Genomic DNA, 17141 nt, shown 5'->3' with positions numbered 1-17141 from the left:
TCCTGTCCGGGATCATAATTTGTCGATTGTTCAGCCTTTCAGACCCCCACTGGCATGCCATATGGAACAGTGAACTTACTTCATGGCGTGAACCCAGGAGAGACCCCTGTCACCTGTACGGCAGGGATTGGGACCTTCATTGTTGAATTTGCCACCCTGAGCAGCCTCACTGGTGACCCGGTGTTCGAAGATGTGGCCAGAGTGGCTTTGATGCGCCTCTGGGAGAGCCGGTCAGATATCGGGCTGGTAGGTTCGCTGCTGCCCTTCCTGTTTGAGTCCCTGCTTACGAGGCCCAGGGCTCTGAGCAATAAGTTGCAGTCAAGCCAAGGAAAACTTAGGGTGACCTTGGGAGTGGTCCAGGATTTGGGCTCAGGACACCAAAAATAGACCAAGCCTCCAATTCAAGTTTGGCTTGGAGTGGGGAGGAGAGTGGGAAAGCACGTTTCTGGCAGGCAGCAGGGGCTGCATTCAGCTTTGACCAGTTGAGATTCTCTGATTTCTAGGAAGAGGGTCGTATGTTTCATGCCCCTGACTCACTTGACGGCTTCAGATCATCAGCTCGTCCGGCCTTCATTTTTAGCGTCTATCTGTATTTGCTGTGTTTCTTAGGACACCGGTTCTGAGAGATACTGAGTGGCAGTTGCATGAAAAAATGAGTCTTGGCCAATTAAGTTAGGGGAATATTAGATATAATATCCCCCCCTTTTTTGGAGAGTCAGAATGCACATGAGCAGAATAAAAATCCTCTAGTAAAGAAATCTATTCAACTTTGTTTAATTTAACATTTCCCAAACTTATTTAACACCAGAGCTTCCCTTTATCTTCCAGTACTATTAACCCATGGAAATTGAACACACTTTGGACCAGATGATCTCTAAGGTCAGTTTCAGCTTCTAAATGGGATAATCAATAAGATTAACAGTAATTGAGCCAAAGCCATCCAGGACATAACACTGGATTTAGTCAGAACTGGATTCAAGCCCTGGCCTTGCTACATCGAAACTGTGTGACCCTGAGCAAGTCACTCAACCTCTCTGGTCCTCAGTTACTTCAGCAGTAACGTTAATATATTAATACCAACTTTGCTGAGTCACTCTGACTTAGGAAGACTGCATTTAGGTCTAGGCACATTTTATGCAGTCTGGTGCTAATCCAGCTTGAAAAGTAAAGCTTGTGTGAGGACTCCCCGAAAATCCCTTAAGAAGGTGCCCCCCTAAGGCTGGGTGCGGTGGCTCACGCCTGTAATTCCAGCACTTTGGGAGACTGAGGCGGGCGGATCACCTGAGATTGGGAGTTCGAGACCAGCCTGACCAACATGGAGAAACCCCATCTCTACTAAAAAATACAAAATTAGCCGGGCGTGGTGGTGCATGCCTGTAATCCCAGCTACTTGGGAGGCTGAGGCAGGAGAATTGCCTGAACCTGGGAGGTGGAGGTTGGGATGAGCCGAGATCGCGCCATTGCATTCCAGCCTGGGCAACAAGAGCGAAACTCCATCTCAAAAAAAAAAAAAAGGTGCCCCGCTGGAGACCTGTAGTAAATCCCTTAGTCCATCTCAGGCAGGTTTTGCTCCAGCAGTGGGACCGTAGTAGACTCTGTTGGTGCCATGCCCATATCCTCTCAACTCTTAACATTTCCATGCACACTGGCCAGTCTTCCAACTGCCATCACCTGCGCCTCTTTGCCTGTGGGTCTCCTCTGGTGCCTGGAGCCACTCTGCTTGCCTTTGGCTGAGGGTACCAGGATTTAATGCTACCCATGAGTAGCTCTCAAGCCGGTAACTGATACTGATGGGAGTTGGTGGATAAACATTCCAGTTCCCTGCCCCTTGGGTGGGATCACTCCGAAGCTGGAGCTCTACACTGAATTCCTAAGCTCCCCAGCAAGATTGAACTCCAGTTCCCATGGTGGAAACCTGCCTGATGGCATACCCCTTAAATGCCGCCTCCCTTGCCCTGCCTCACTTCCCCCTCCTCTACTGGTGTTTACAAGGACTTACCTTCCAAATCAACTACTTTCAGGCAGAATGAGGTTGTGCTCCTGGGGGGACACAAACCAACGCGGAACAGTTAGCTATTTCTTTGAGTACCAGATGAAGTTACCAGCTTCCATGAGGGTCTAAGCCATATGAAAAATACATATATTTGGCTGGGCGCAGTGGCTCACGCCTGTAATCCCAGCACTTTGGGAGGCCAAGGCAGGCGTATCACCTGAGGTCGGGAGTTCGAGACCAGCCTGACCAACAGGGAGAAACCATGTCTCTACTAAAAATACAAAAAATAAAATAAATACAATAAAATAGAAAAATACGTATCTTTGTTTATTTTTTTGAGACAGAGTCTCCCCCTGTCGCCCAGGCTGGAGTGCAGTGGCACGATCTCGGCTCACTGCAACCTCCCCCTCTTGGGTTCAAGTGATTCTCATGCCTCTGCCTCCTGAGTAGCTGGGATTATAGGCACACACCACCATGCCTGGCTAATTTTTGTGTTTTTATTAGAGACAGGGTTTTACCATGTTGGCCAAGTTGGTCTCGGACTTCTGACCTCCAGTGATTTTGCCCCCCTCAGCCTCCCAACGTGCTGGGATTATAGGCATGAGCCACCGCGCCTGGCCGGCATTGCCAATTTTTCACAGTCTCTACAGAGACTGAACAATTAAAAAAAAAAAAGTCAAAGGATACAAAAAAGGGTACTCAGTGACATTGGTGAAGTCCCCTTTTGCCCCTGTCTCCAGCTATTCGGTTTCTCTCCTTAGAACCACTCTGTCAGCTTCTTGGTGGATGTTCTTATTGAGTTAATTTATGGAAATACGTAAAGCACGTCTGTGTCTTCAGATAGTGGAATCACATGCTGGGTGCTGAGAAATCAGACAGATTGCGGCAACAGCAAATTCTCATCTCCCATCTCACACTCACTCTAGGCAGGACATAAACACTCCAAATCATTTTTCTTTTTCATTTTTTGCTCAATGTGTATAATTAAGTCCTCATAAATGTGCATGAGATGCATCTCTACTATGCAGATGTACAGGAAGGCTGGCCATGATCCAGCATTGCCCTTCCCTCTCAGGGTCTGCATGTTTCCCAAGAAGCACTGGGGCACCTGCCCTGCATCTCCCTGGGCAGTCAGGGTTGGGGGTGAGTAGATCCTTCTTTGGCCATCGGCCTTCCCGTTGGGACCGTGTGTCTTTCTCTCTCTCAGGTCGGCAACCACATTGATGTGCTCACTGGCAAGTGGGTGGCCCAGGACGCAGGCATCGGGGCTGGCGTGGACTCCTACTTTGAGTACTTGGTGAAAGGAGCCATCCTGCTTCAGGATAAGAAGCTCATGGCCATGTTCCTAGGTAAAAATGGCAGAGTAAGGGAGCTTTTCCCCTCATTTTTCTTGCTGATGTGTGATTTGTTTAAAAACTTTTTTTTGAGACAGAGTCTTGCTCCATCTCCCAGGCTGGAGTGCAGTGGCACAATCTAGGCTCACTGCAACCTCTGCCTCCCAGGTTCAAGTGATTCTCATGCCTCAGCCTCCTGAGTAGCTGGGCATGTGATGGTGTGGACTACAGGCGCACACCATCACATCCAGCTAATTTTTGTATTTTTAGTAGAAACGGGGTTTCACCATGTTGGCCAGGCTGGTCTCAAACTCCGGACCTCAGGTGATCTGCCCGCCTTGGCCTCCCAAAGTGTTGGGATCACAGGTGTGAGCCACCACGCCTGGCCTGAGTGCCTGCAGAATCAGTTCTGAATTCAGAGTCACTATGGACTTACACTGCCCACTTCATGCCCACTACAGCACTTGATGCCTTCTTGCAAAAGCCAACTGAAGCGTGCTGCATTCTGTGTATGTAGCCCTGGATTTCTTATCTCCTGGCCATTGCACATGGCATCTTCTTTGCCTAGAATGTCTTTTTTCCTGTCTTCCTATGTCCAAATTCTTTTCACCCTTCAAAGCCTAACTTAAATGTCGCCTTGCCCAGGAAGTAGCTTGATCCTTCTACAGAATTTGGGACCTTCAGCATCTTTCTTGCAGTTAGCTCTCATCAACAGTTACAGCTCTACAAATTGAATGCAGAATCCATGCCTTACTCATCTTATGTTCCCCACAGTGCTTTACATGTGGTAGGTAATAGATTAATACCTGTTGAATAAATACATCTTACCCGCCAGGCCCTTAGACACTAGCAATCTTGAGGAATTGTTGAGCACCTAATTACTATTATTATTATAGCTACAGTAGTCCCCCGTTATCCACAGTTTTGATTTCCATGGTTTCAGTTATCCATGGTCAACTGCAGTCTGAAAATAGGTGAGTACAGTCAGATACGATATTTTGAGGCTGGGTGCAGTGGCTCACGCCTGTAGTCCCAGTTTTTTGGAAGTGAGGATTGTTTGAGGCCAGGAGTTTGAGACCAGCCTGGGCAATATAGTAAGACCCCCTCTCTAAAAAAACAAAGATATTTTGAGGCACTAAATTTACATAATTTCTTTTTTTCCTGTCTCTTACCAAAAAGACAAATTCACATAACTTCTATAACATATATTGTTATACTTGTTCTGCTTTATTATTAGTTATTGTTGTTAATCTCTTCCCATGCCTAATTTATAAATTAAACTTTTTCGGCTAGGCACAGTGGCTCATGCCTTTAATCCCAGTGCTTTGGGAAGCTGAGGCGAGAGAATTGCTTGACCCCAGAAGTTCAAGATCAGCCTGGGCAACATGGTGAGACCTCGTCTCTACAAAAAATAAAAAAAAATTTGCTGGGCATGATGGTGCGTGCCTGTAGTCCCCACTACTTGGGAGGCCAAGGTGAAGGATTGCTTGACCCTGGGAGGTCAAGGGTGCAGTGAACCGTGATCATACCACTGCATTTCAGCCTGGGTGACAGAGTAAGACCCTGTCTCAAAAATAAAAATTTTTAAAAATTTAATGAATTAAGAATTCTCATAGATGTGTATGTATAGGAAAACAGTAGTCACGCATTGCTTAATGACAGGGATATAGTCTGAGAATTGCATCGTTAGGTGATTTCATCATTGTGCAAACATCATAGGGTGTACTTAAGCAAACCTAGATGGTATAGCCAACTACACACCTAGGCTATATGGTGTAGCCTATTGCTCCTAGGCTACAAACCTGTACAGCATGTTACTCTACTGAATACTATAGACAATTGTAATAGAATGGTAAGTATGTATATAAACATAGAAAAAGTACAGTACAAATACAGTATAAAAGGGCACATGAATGAAGTTCACAGGACAGGAAGTTGCTCTGGGTGAGTCAGTGAGTGGTGAGTGAATGTCAAGGTCTAGGACATTACACTATTGTAAACTTTATAAATACTGTACACTTAGGCTATACTAAATTTATTTAAATTTTTTTTTCTTTCTCCAGTAATAAATTTTTTTTTTTTTTTTGAGATAGAGTCTTGCTCTGTTGCCCAGGCTGGAGTGCAGTGGCATGATCTTGGTTTACTGCAACCTCTGCTTCCCCAGTTCAAGTGATTCTCCTGCCTCAGCCTCCTGAGTAGCTGGGATTACAGGCGCCCACCACCATGCCTGGCTGATTTTTTTTTTCTTTAAAGACAGAGTCTCACTCTGTTGCCCAGGCTGGAGTACAGTGGTGCAATATCGGCTCGCTGCAACCTCTGCCTCCCGGGTTCTAGCAATTCTCCTTCCTCAGCCTCCCGAGTAGCTGGGATTACAGGTGCACGCTGCCATGCCCAGCTAATTTTTTGTATTTTAGTAGAGATGGGGTTTCACTGTGTTGCCCGGGCTGGTCTTGAACTCCTGAGCTCAGGCAATCCACCCGCCTCGGCCTCCCAAAGTGCTAGGATTACAGGCGTGAGCCACCGTGCCTGGCCTAATTTTTGTATTTTTAGTAGAGATGGATGGGTTTTCACCATGTTGGCCAGGCTGGTCTCAAACTCCTGATCTCAGGTGATCTCCACCCACCTTGGCCTCCCAAAGTGCTGGGATTAGAGGCGTGAGCCACCATGCCTGGCCTCCAATAATAAATTAACGTTAGCTTACTGTAACTTTTTTACTTTATGAACTTTAAAATTTTAAAAAACTTTTTGACTCATTTGTAATAATGCTTAGCTTAAAACACATTGTACAGCTATACAGAAATATTTTATTTATATCCTTATTCTCTAAGTTTTTTTCTGTTTTTAGTTTTTTATTTTGTTTTCACCTTTTAGACTTTTTTGTTAAAAACTAAGCTACAAACACACATTAGCCTAGGCCTAGGGTCAGTATCATCAATATCACTGTCTTCCACTTCCCCATGTTATCCTGCTAGAAGGTCTTTGGGGGCAGTAACACTCACAGAACTGTTGTTATCTCAGATGATTGATAACAATGCCTTCTGGAATTCCTTGAAGGACCTGCCTGAAGCTGTTTCATTTTTTTTTTTTTTTTAGACAGAGTTTTGCTTATGTTGCCCAGGCTGGAGTGCAGTGGCACCATCTCGGCTCACTGCAACCTCCGCCTCCCAGGTTCAATTCTCCTGTGATTTTCCTGTCTTAGCCTCCTGAGCAGCTGGGATTATAGGCACCCACCACTACGCCCAGCTAATTTTTGTTTTTGTTTTTATTTTTTTTGGAGACAGAGTCTTGCTCTGTTGCCCAGGCTGGAGTGCAGTGGTGTGATCTCCGCTCACTACAAACTCCACCTCCCGGATTCACGCCATTCTCCTGCCTCAGCCTCCCGAGTAGCTGGGATTACAGGCGCCCGCCACCACACCCAGCTAATTTTTTTGTATTTTTAGTAGAGATGGGGTTTCACCGTGTTAGGCAGGATGGTCTAACACTGACCTCGTGATCCGCCCACCTCGCCCTCCCAAAGTGCTGGGATTACAGGTGTGAGCCACCACGCCCAGCCGACTTTTTTTATATAAGAGGAAGGAGTTATCTAATGATAATAATATAGTAAATACATAAACGCGTAAATGGTTGTTTATTAAATATCACGTACTATACATAATTGTATGTGTTATACTTTTATGACTGGCAGCACAGTAGGTGTGTTTACACCAGTATCACCACAAACAAGTAAGTAATGCATTGCATTATAAAATTACAACAGCTGTGATATCTTTAGGCTGTGGTGATTTTTCACCTCTATTATAATTTTATAGGACCACCATCTCTACAGTTCAGTGTTGACCAACATGTTGTTATATGGCACATGACTGTATATAGAGTTTATTTAGTACTATCCATGGTTTCAGACATCCACTGAGGGTCTTGGAACGTATTCTCCTCACATAAGGGGGGACTACTTTACTCATTTATTCAACAAATATTTATTGAATACCACGGATGTACCAAGCATTGTGCCAAGCTCTGAACATGGACTGTTTCATATAATCCTTACAACTCCTGTTTGAGATTATCTTATTTATTTGCATGTATATTTGGTACTTTGTTCATTCAGAAAATGTTTATTGCTCATTGTACTAGTGTGGGGGATTCTGCAGTAGACAAAACAAAGTCCCAGGCCTCATGGATTTACAATCTAGGGGAGAGATATGAGGGATAAATTCAAGTTCCTACTAGAATGTAAGTTCTCTGAAGGCTGGATTTTGTCTTGTTTACAAACTCATAGGAGCCTGGAACCTAGTAGGTGCTTAGCGAATGTTTGTGGTATAAATAAATGACTGAAAAATTCCACAGATACCTAACATTACTGTATTAGACCATTTTCACTGCTGATAAAGACGTACTCAAGACTGGGTAATTTATAAAGAAAAAGAGGTTTAATGGACTCACAGTTCCACATGGCTGGGGAGGCCTCACAATCGTGGCGGAAGGCGAAAGGCACATCTTACATGGTGCAGGCAAGAGAGAATGAGAGCCAAGTGAAAGGGGAAACCTCTTATAAAACCATCAGATCTTGTGAGACTTATTCACTACCATGAGAACAGTATGGGGGAAACGGCCCCCATGATTCAATTATCTCCCACCAGGTCCCTTCCACAACACGTGAGAAATATGGGAGCTACAATTCAAGGTGAGATTTAGGTGGGGACACAGCCAAACCACATCAATTATTTTCTGCTTTTTTCTTTTTGAGATGGAGTTTCACTCTTGTTGCCCAGGCTGGAGTGCAATGGTGCGATCTCAGCTCACAGCAACCTCCGCCTCCTGGGTTCAAGCAATTCTCCTTCCTCAGCCTCCCAAGTAGCTGAGATTACAGGCATGCACCACCACACCTGGCTAATTTTGTATTTTTAGTAGAGACAGGGTTTCTCCGTGTTGGTCAGGCTGGTCTCGAACTCCCAATCTCAGGTGATCCGCCCACCTCGGCCTCCCAAAGTGCTGGGATTATAGATGTGAGCCACCACGCCTGGCCTCCCCATTTTATAGATCATAAGGCTGAGGCTTAAAAGGGAAAAACCCACCCCAGGTCACGGTTAGCAAGTGGTAGAGCTGGAGCTGGAATTTGAGCTGGAAGTTTGACTCCAGAATCCATGCTCTTGTCTAGCCTCCTTGCCTCATTGCATCCTGGTGCTCTTTCCAAAGTGTAAGTTCTCGCTTCCGCTGTCCAGGCCTGCCTTTTTTCTCCCTAATCACTCATATGTCCATTATCCCATCTCCCCCACTGCAGAGTATAACAAAGCCATCCGGAACTACACCCGCTTCGATGACTGGTACCTGTGGGTTCAGATGTACAAGGGGACTGTGTCCATGCCAGTCTTCCAGTCCTTGGAGGCCTACTGGCCTGGTCTTCAGGTAGGAATGATCAAAGAATGTGATCATCTTTCTATGAGTCTGGCAAAGCAAGCTCATTCTGATGTATAAGTCAAATAATGTACTTTGTTAATTGCTTGAGTACTTTTTTTGGAGGGACAGGTTGAGGATGGAAGAGAGACCTAGAGTGAATTAGATAGATTTAGAGTTCTGCCAAATTGAGTGTCAGGAACTGAGCTTCCAGTTTGCCATGGAGTGTTACAGTACTTAAAGTCGACAGTGCATTTCCAGTCTGGGCAGGAATGGCCATTGGCAACAGGTGTTTCTCCACTGGGCGTTTCTGTCCAATCTCATTCTTGACAGTGGGCCTCAGGAAGGGCAGGAAGCAGCTTGTGCCGCTGTGCCATCTCGTTGTTTTTCCATTACATGGTCTGGTAGAGTTGCAGCTGGAAGGATCTTAGAGCTTATCTAATCTACCCCACTTTGGTGTTCCAAAATAGTGCATGTACCAAAATGTTTTTATAATCTACGTTTTTAAAAGTTTTAAGAAAAAGTAGTCCCACCTGGGCAACATAGTGAGACCTCATCTCTACAAAAAATAAAAAATTAGGTCGGGCGCGGTGGCTCAGGCCTATAATCCCAGCGCTTTGGCAGGCCGAGGCAGGCGGATCACAAGGTTAGGAGATTGAGACCATCCTGGCTAACACGGTGAAACCCCATCTCTACTAAAAATACAAAAAATTAGCTGGGCGTGGTGGTGGGCGCCTGTAGTCCCAGCTACTCGGGAGGCTGAGGCAGGAGAATGGCATGAACCTGGGAGGCGGAGCTTGCAGTGAGCTGAGATTGCGCCACTGCACTCCAGCCTGGATGACAGAGCAAGACTCCGTCTCAAAAAAATAAAAATAAATAAATAAAAATAAAAATAAAAAATTAGCCTAGGGTGGTGGCACATGCCTGTAGTCCCAGCTACTCAGGAGACTGCAGTGGAAGGATTGCTTGAACCCAGAAGATCAAGGCTGCAGTGAGCCATGATCATGCCATTGCAGCCTGGGTGACAGAGTGAGACCCTGTCTCAAAAAAAAAAAAAAAAAGTGGCCACCGGGTTTCTATCCAGAATAACCAGGTAGACATTGTGTCATTTACCAAGAAGGGAAAAAGGCCAAAGTAGGGAGGCAATTTCGTGGGAAAGTAAGGGAACCAAGAATTTTGTTTAGGAAGTGCCAAGTTTGTTCTGTCCATGAGACATCCAATGAAGATGTCAGGGTCAGCTGCTTCCCTGTGAGATTACATTAATAGTAATGGCTACTTAGCAATAGTGGTAAAATTATAAATGCATATATCCTTTGACCCAGTGATCCTAATTCTGAAAATGTATCTTACACATAACATTTTACATCTATTTGATGTGACATATATACAGAATTATTTATTGCCACATTAGTTGTTGGAACCAATTCAAATAAAAATATCTGAAAGCCAAATTTCCATATCTAAAAATATGGAGATAATTAATATCCCTATTAATAAAGAACCAAAGGCTATTTTTTAGTGTGGGGAAAATAACATATACTCATGCATAAAGAAACTCTGAAAGGTTATACAAGAAACCAGTAATGTTTATCTGAGGCCAGGCAAGATGGGTGATGGTTGTAATCCCAGCACTTTGGAAGGCTGAGGTAGGAGGATCACTTGAGCCCAGGAGATTAAGACCAGCCTGGGCAACAAAGTGAGACCCCCATCTCTACAGAAAATAAAAAAATTAGCACTGGGAGGCTGAGGTGAGAGGATCTCTTGAGCCCAGGAGGTCAAGGCTGTAATGAACCGTGATTGTGCCACTGCACTCCAGCCTAGGTGACAGAGCGAGACCCTGTCTCAAAAACAAAAACAAAAATGGTTATCTTTTGGGGGTGTGGTGTGGGAGTGAGCCTTAGCACAAACTTTTCTCTATTCTTAGAATTTTTAACTGGCTGGCCGAATTCCAAAACTGTTAGCTGACATTGACTCTGAAGATTTAGGGACTTAATATACAATCTTTGTTCCTTCCAACAATGCATGAGATAGGTGGTGTATTTTACGTTTTATAGATGGGGCTCAGAGAAGTCCAGTGCCTGGCTCAGCACCACACTGAGTAACTGGCAGACTCAGGGATTGATTCAAGGCCTTTTTGGCCCCACAGATTTTACTTTGTCTTTTCTTAAGGTTGTCTGTGGGGTTTTATGCCTGGTGTCTACCTGCCTGACAGCCACTTTCTCCCACAGAGCCTCATTGGAGACATTGACAATGCCATGAGGACCTTCCTCAACTACTACACTGTATGGAAGCAGTTTGGGGGGCTCCCGGAATTCTACAACATTCCTCAGGGATACACAGTGGAGAAGCGAGAGGGCTACCCACTTCGGCCAGGTGAGCAGCATTTCTGGCTTGTCATCTGCCCACAGGCTCTGGTTGCTGAAACCCCAAATCCCCTCTACAAGGCTCCATCCTCCACAACTGCCCACAAGTTCATTTCTTTCCATCTGTTCCTTTCAGTGGCTCTGGGTGGTTTTCTTACTAGGAGTTAATTATCCCCATGTTTTCAGATATGGAAACTGAGGCCTAGTGGGATGAAATGGCTCGCCTCTGGCTCTTAAGTGCAGGAGCTAGGCCTGGAACCCAGGGCTCCTAACTAAATTGCATGCTCTTTTTTATTTTTATTTTTTTGAGATGGAGTTTCGCTATTGTTGCCCAGACTGAAGTGCAATGGTGTGATCTCGGCTCACCGCAACCTCCGCCTCCTGGGTTCAAGCGATTCTCCTGCCTCAGCCTCCCGAGTAGCTGGGATTACAGGCATGAGCCACCATGCCCAGCTAATTTTGTATTTTTAGTAGAGATGGAGTTTCTCCATGTTGGTCAGGCTGGTCTTGAACTCCCAGCCTCAGGTGATCCGCCCACCTTGGCCTCCCAAAGTGCTGGGATTACAGATGTGAGCCACTGCGACTGGCCCCATATGCTCTTTCAAATCAGGAAATGAGTGAGAAGGAAAAGGCCAAGGTTGACTCCTTTTGAGCTCCTGCCATCAGGATTTCAGAAGTGTAGGCAAGCTTCCTAAGTCCATGGGTCAGATAAATTATGCTTACGTGTATGGAATGTTAGAACTTTGGGGCGGACCTTAGGAATTACCTAGTCTCTTCCACCTCCCCATTTGCAGCTCAGAATCAAGCAAAGGACTATATTTGAGACACTCTCATAGGTTCCTTTCTAGCCCTAATGTCATTTGATTCACTTCAGGGAAGCTGAAAATTGTGAGGAGGGAAAGAAAAAGAGGGACAAAGGAAGGAAGCTTAGTCAGCACACATAGTCATCCCCCACCCCAAAACAGGCTATGAGCCCATTGTCTTAGACACTTCCCACTTTCCCACCTGAATTGCCTTTTAGCCATGGGACAGGCCTTCTGGTTATCCTGCCTTCCTCTACCCCATTTCCTTCCTCTTCTAACTCAAGTGATTATCGTAGGAGGTGTAGAGGGGACCAGGAGAGGGAATAAAGAGCAAATTCATCAACTTTTGACTCCTTAGAGGCCACTGTTATTGATGTTTCTCATGCATTTGTTCTCATGGCATGTTTTTAAAACAGGAAACTTGGTTGGGCATGGTGGCTCACGCCTGTAATCCCAGCACTTTGGGAGGCCAAGGCAGGTGGATCACCTGAAGTCAGGAGTTTGAGACCAGCCTGGCCAACATGGTGAAACCCCATCTCTACTAAAAATACAAAATTAGCTGGGCATGGTGGCGTGCACCTGTAATCTCAGCTACTGGGGAGGCTGAGACAGTAGAATCGCTTGAACCCGGGAGGTAGAAGTTGCAGTGAGCTGAGATCACGCCATTGCACTCCAGCCTGGGCAAAAAAGAGCAAAACTCCATCTCAAAAAAATAAATAAGTAAATTTTAAAAATAAGAAGCTCTGAGAAGGTATCGTATCTGGTGTTACCAACAGGTAAAGATTAGGGTTTGGAACTAAATGTAAGACATAGGCTTGCACAATCTTAGGGTTAGAGGGAACCTGAGAGGTGTTCTAATTGGAATTTTCCTAATATGGCCCTGTCAAGTGGTTATCTAGTTTTTGCTTAGTTACCACGAGTGACAAGGAGCTTGCTACTTAACAGAGGCAACCTGTTCCATTTGGGACAGGCTGGCAGGAAGGCATTCATGGAAAGTAAGACACTACTGGCCAGATGCAGTGGCTTATGCCTGTAATCCCAGCACTCTGGAAGCCTGAGGCAGGAGGATCATTTAAGCCCAGGGGTTCAAGATCAGCCTGGGCAACATAGCAAGACCTTGTCTCTATAAGAAATATAAATAAATTAGCCAAGAGTGGTGTTGCATGCCTGTAGTCCCATCCCAGCTACCTGGGAGGATCACTTGAGCCCAGGTGGTCGTAGCTGCAGTGAGCCATGATGGCGCCACTGCAATCCAGCCTGGGCAATGGAGTGAGACCCTGTCTCCAAAAAAAAAAAACATAAGGCACCGCTGTCAGGAATCCAGGAGTGCGTTAATCCAGTCATCCCTCCTACCCCAAAACAATGGCAAATAGGAGATAAGGACTACTCTTTCACTAAATTGGCCAGAGCCCTGTACTTTCGTATATGTCTCTCTGATCAGCAGTGTTGGAGCACAGAGCCTAGCCTAAAGGCCTCTGCAGGCTTTTACCTTCCTCTAAGTCCAAATCTGAACTTTGGGCTGTCTCCTTCCTCTAGAGCAGGGATTCCCCAACCCCCAGGCCGTGGACCGGTACAAGTCCATGGCCTGTTAGAAACCAGGCCACACAGCAGGAGGTGAGCTGCGTGTGAGCAAGCAAAGCTTCATCTATATTTATAGCTGCTCCTCATCGCTCACATTGCTGCCTGAGCTCCGCCTCTTGTCTTATCCGTGGTGGCATTAGACGTTCATAGGAGCACAAACCCTATTGTGAACTGCATATGTGAGGGATCTAGGTTGTGTGCTCCTTAGGAGAAGCTGATGCCTGATGATCTGTCACTGTCATCCATCAACCCCAGATAGGGCTGTCTAGTTGCAGGAAAACAAACTCAGGGCTCCCACTGACTCTACATTATGGTGGATTGTATAATTATTTCATTATATATTACAATGTAATAATAATATAAATAAAGTGCACAATAAATGTAATGCACATGAATTATCCCAAAACCATCTCCTACAAGCCCAGTTCATGGAAAAATTGTCTTCCATGAAACTGGTCCCTGGTGCCAAAACGGTTGGGGACCACTGCTCGACAGAGTTGGTCAGATGCACAGGAAAGTAAAGCAATAACTAACATGCTTAGGAGGCCCACATGTGAGGAGAGAAGCGTGATGGCTGGTCATGAGGGCACTGGCCCACCAGCTGCTAGAAGCAGAAGAGGGCTGGGTGTGGTGGCTCACGCCTGTAATCCCAGCACTTTGGGAGGCCAAGGCGGTGGATCAACTGAGGTCAGGAGTTCGAGACCAGCCTGACCAATATGGCGAAACCCTGTCTCTACTAAAAATACAAAAATTAGCCGGGCACGGTGGCATGTGCCTGTAGTCCCAGCTACTCAGGAGGCTGAGACAGGAGAATTGCTTGAACCTGGGAGGCAGAGGTTGCAGTGAGCCAAGATCATGCCATTGCACTCTAGCCTGGGTAACACAGCAAAACTCCCTCTCAAAAAAAAAAAAAAAAAAAAAAGAAGAAGCCGAAAAAAGAAGCAGAAGAGGAGGCCTCCCATGAGGGCACTGTCTTTTCTGCCTTTGAACACACAGAATGTGTTCATCTAGTAATGAATGTACCCTAGTCTGTGCCTTAGAATATGAGCAATTAGATTAGCAATTGTCTAGAGGCCTGTGAGGAGAGGGGAGGAGGAAGTAAGAGAGAACTGGGGAGATAGGCAGAGACCTTTTCTCTAAAATAAGAACTAGAGGCTGGGTGCAGTGACTCACGCCTGTTATCTCAACACTTCAGGAAGCCAAGACTGGCGGATGACTTGAGGTCAGGAGTTTGAGACCAGCCTGGCCAACATGGCGAAACCCTGTCTCCACTAAAAATACAAAAATTAGTCAGGGCTGGTGGCGCATGCCTGTAATTCCAGCTACTTGGGAGGTTGAGGCATGAGAATCCCTTGAACCCAGGAGGCAGAGTTGCAGTGAGCGGAGATCGCACCATGGCACTCCAGCCTGGGTGACAGAGTGAGACTCTGTCACAAAAAAGTAATTAACGGAATAAAATAAGAACCAGAGTTTGCAGCAATAAGCCAAAAGGGACAGAAGCACTGATCAAGCCCAGGAGGAAACAGGACAGGAGAAGGTCAGGGGGAGATGATGGTATAGAAAGGAGACAGGGGTTCTTCTGTCTCTTAGAAAAGATGGATGAAGTAGAAAAACATACTGAGCTGAGGCCACCCTTGAAGTCAACTCTACAACAGTTCTTCAGGTATTTGAAAGCAATAAACACATTTTTTTTGGATTTCCTTATCTCTAGAATAAATATTCTCATCTGGACCCACTCCTGTTGGCTAATATTCATCTTAAGGTAGAGCTCATGTCTTAACATCAAGTTCCAGTTGTGGCATAGAATTGGGCAAGACAAAACATCACTTTTTCTGGCCACAGTGAACTGATGACTACGTCTTTGTTAGATTGACGGTTTGGTGGTTTATTTTATTTTATTTTTTTAATTTTTATTTTTTGAGATAAGGTCTCACTCTTGTCATCCAGGCTGGAGTGCCGCAGTGGCTTAATCATGGCTCACTGCAGCCTCAAACTCCTGGGCTCAAGTGATCCTCCTACCTCAGCCTCCTGAGTAGCTAGGACTACAGGTGCATGCCACACCCAGCTAATCATTTTTAATTTTTGTAGAGACAAGATCTCGCCATGTTGCCCAGGCTGGTCTCAAACTCCTGGGTTCAAACGATCCTCTCACCTTGGCCTCCCAAAGTGCTGGGATTACAGGCATGAGCCACCCACCATGCCTGGCCTGCTCTTGGATATCTCAGCCTTTTCTTTTGGTCCATCCTATCTTAGAACGAGCCTTATGATGCCAAGCTCTTACTCTTCTTTTGAGTTTTAGAATTAGGTTAGACTCTGAGTGACAGGAAAAAAAATAGTAGCTTAATTAGGATAGAAATGTATTTCTCTCTCATGTTCTGGGCTTATATGGCTCGCCATGGTGTCCTTAATCCCACCTAGCTGTTAGAATAGTTAGTGTTGGCAGCCAGGCAGCCTGTGCTTAGCTAAAGTTAGGAATCCTGCTACTAAGGAGGAAGCGGGGAACAGATATTGGGAATTAGGCAACAACCTCCGCCACCTTCTCTATGCCAGAACCTGGCCACCTTTCTCTCCCTTGTGGTGGAAGTCACTGGTCAGCCTTAATGCTGGTCTCCACTGAGCTTCAAGCTTTGGGTATACTGGCTCTGAAACTCAGCACTGGGTGAGGTATCCTGTGTTCCTGCTAGTTGGGGCCTTATGGACAAGATATGGAGGGGAGTAGTCCCTCACGGCCCTAAGAGGCCCCAGGCCATCTCTGTGCAGCCACTGAGTGAGGAGGGTCTGCTTTGGACTTTGCAGAACTTATTGAAAGCGCAATGTACCTCTACCGTGCCACGGGGGATCCCACCCTCCTAGAACTCGGAAGAGATGCTGTGGAATCCATTGAAAAAATCAGCAAGGTGGAGTGCGGATTTGCAACAGTAAGTGTTTGCATGGCCCCAAGAACTGGGAAGAGTCTCCCCTTGCTGCTAAAAAGCCTCTTTAAGGGTAGAGCTTTGGGAGTTCTGACATATCAGCACTAGAAGGGACCTTGGAGATATACATAATGCTCATATTTTACAGATGGGGAGACCAAAGAACAGAGAAGCTAAGTGCCTTGCTAAAGATCTCACAGCTAGTAGAGGTAGAGCTAGAATTAGTTCCTTGGGATCTTGACCCCGGCCCTTGGCATTCCTCCCACAGTGGAGATCTTTGATCTGTTTGAATAGGTGACTTTGAAAAGGTGAGTTTAGCGAAAAGTTTTGTGAGACACTAAAATAGATTTTAAGGGGAATCCAGAGTCCCATAGCCCTATATTCAAACCTGGGACTCCTTAACAAAGCAGTCCTGCTTAGTCTCACAGATATTTCTTGAATGTCTTTCACATGCCAGGCACTCTGCTAGGCCCAAGGGTTACAGCAGTGGCCTTGCTCTCATGGAGCTTACATTTTAATGAGAAAAAAACCATGAATGTGTATCTGGTAGACAGAAGGCCAGTGTGGCTGGAGCGGAGCAAGCAAGGAGAAAAGTGGGAAGAGATAAGGTCCCAGAGGTAGGCAGGGGCTAGATCATGTAGGGTTTTGTGTAAGCCACAGGAAAGAGTTTGGGTTTTTTTTTCTACTTGGAATGTGAACCCTTGGTAGGATTTACAGCAGAGCAGTGACATGATCTGATTTGTATTTTAGAAAGATCGCTT

At 45.7% G+C, this 17141-nt stretch overlaps 2 protein-coding genes across 4 annotated transcripts in view, besides 1 other annotated feature; both read left to right on the top strand.

The window, feature by feature from the left end:
• Window positions 1-17141, top strand: part of MMP24-AS1-EDEM2 (MMP24-AS1-EDEM2 readthrough) — a 162759-nt gene that overhangs the window by 143139 nt on the left and 2479 nt on the right. The window contains exons 10-14 of the mRNA NM_001355008.2: window positions 35-246; window positions 3201-3342; window positions 8609-8733; window positions 10950-11094; window positions 16265-16386. Coding sequence (NP_001341937.1) covers window positions 35-246; window positions 3201-3342; window positions 8609-8733; window positions 10950-11094; window positions 16265-16386 — 746 coding nt within the window. The remainder of the gene's footprint in view (window positions 1-34; window positions 247-3200; window positions 3343-8608; window positions 8734-10949; window positions 11095-16264; window positions 16387-17141) is intronic.
• Window positions 1-17141, top strand: part of EDEM2 (ER degradation enhancing alpha-mannosidase like protein 2) — a 31973-nt gene that overhangs the window by 12353 nt on the left and 2479 nt on the right. For all 3 annotated transcript variants that reach the window (NR_026728.2, NM_001145025.2, NM_018217.3), the window contains 5 exons: window positions 35-246; window positions 3201-3342; window positions 8609-8733; window positions 10950-11094; window positions 16265-16386. Coding sequence is in view for 2 of the 3 variants with exons in the window: in NM_001145025.2 (NP_001138497.1) it covers window positions 35-246; window positions 3201-3342; window positions 8609-8733; window positions 10950-11094; window positions 16265-16386 (746 nt within the window). In the remaining variant the exon portion in view is untranslated. The remainder of the gene's footprint in view (window positions 1-34; window positions 247-3200; window positions 3343-8608; window positions 8734-10949; window positions 11095-16264; window positions 16387-17141) is intronic.
• Window positions 413-1612: an enhancer, noted in NCBI's record as "MED14-independent group 3 enhancer chr20:33721175-33722374 (GRCh37/hg19 assembly coordinates)". NCBI's record gives its function as "activates an origin of replication core promoter dependent on BRD2, BRD4, P300/CBP and CDK7 cofactors, and independent of MED14, by STARR-seq in HCT116 cells {active_cell/tissue: HCT116}" and the evidence as "EXISTENCE:reporter gene assay evidence [ECO:0000049][PMID:35650434]".

This window comes from Homo sapiens, chromosome 20 (assembly GCF_000001405.40).
Source record: "Homo sapiens chromosome 20, GRCh38.p14 Primary Assembly".
Taxonomy (NCBI): domain Eukaryota; kingdom Metazoa; phylum Chordata; class Mammalia; order Primates; family Hominidae; genus Homo; species Homo sapiens.
Note: the sequence above shows the minus strand (reverse complement) of the source record. Positions and strands in the feature narration are given on the sequence as shown.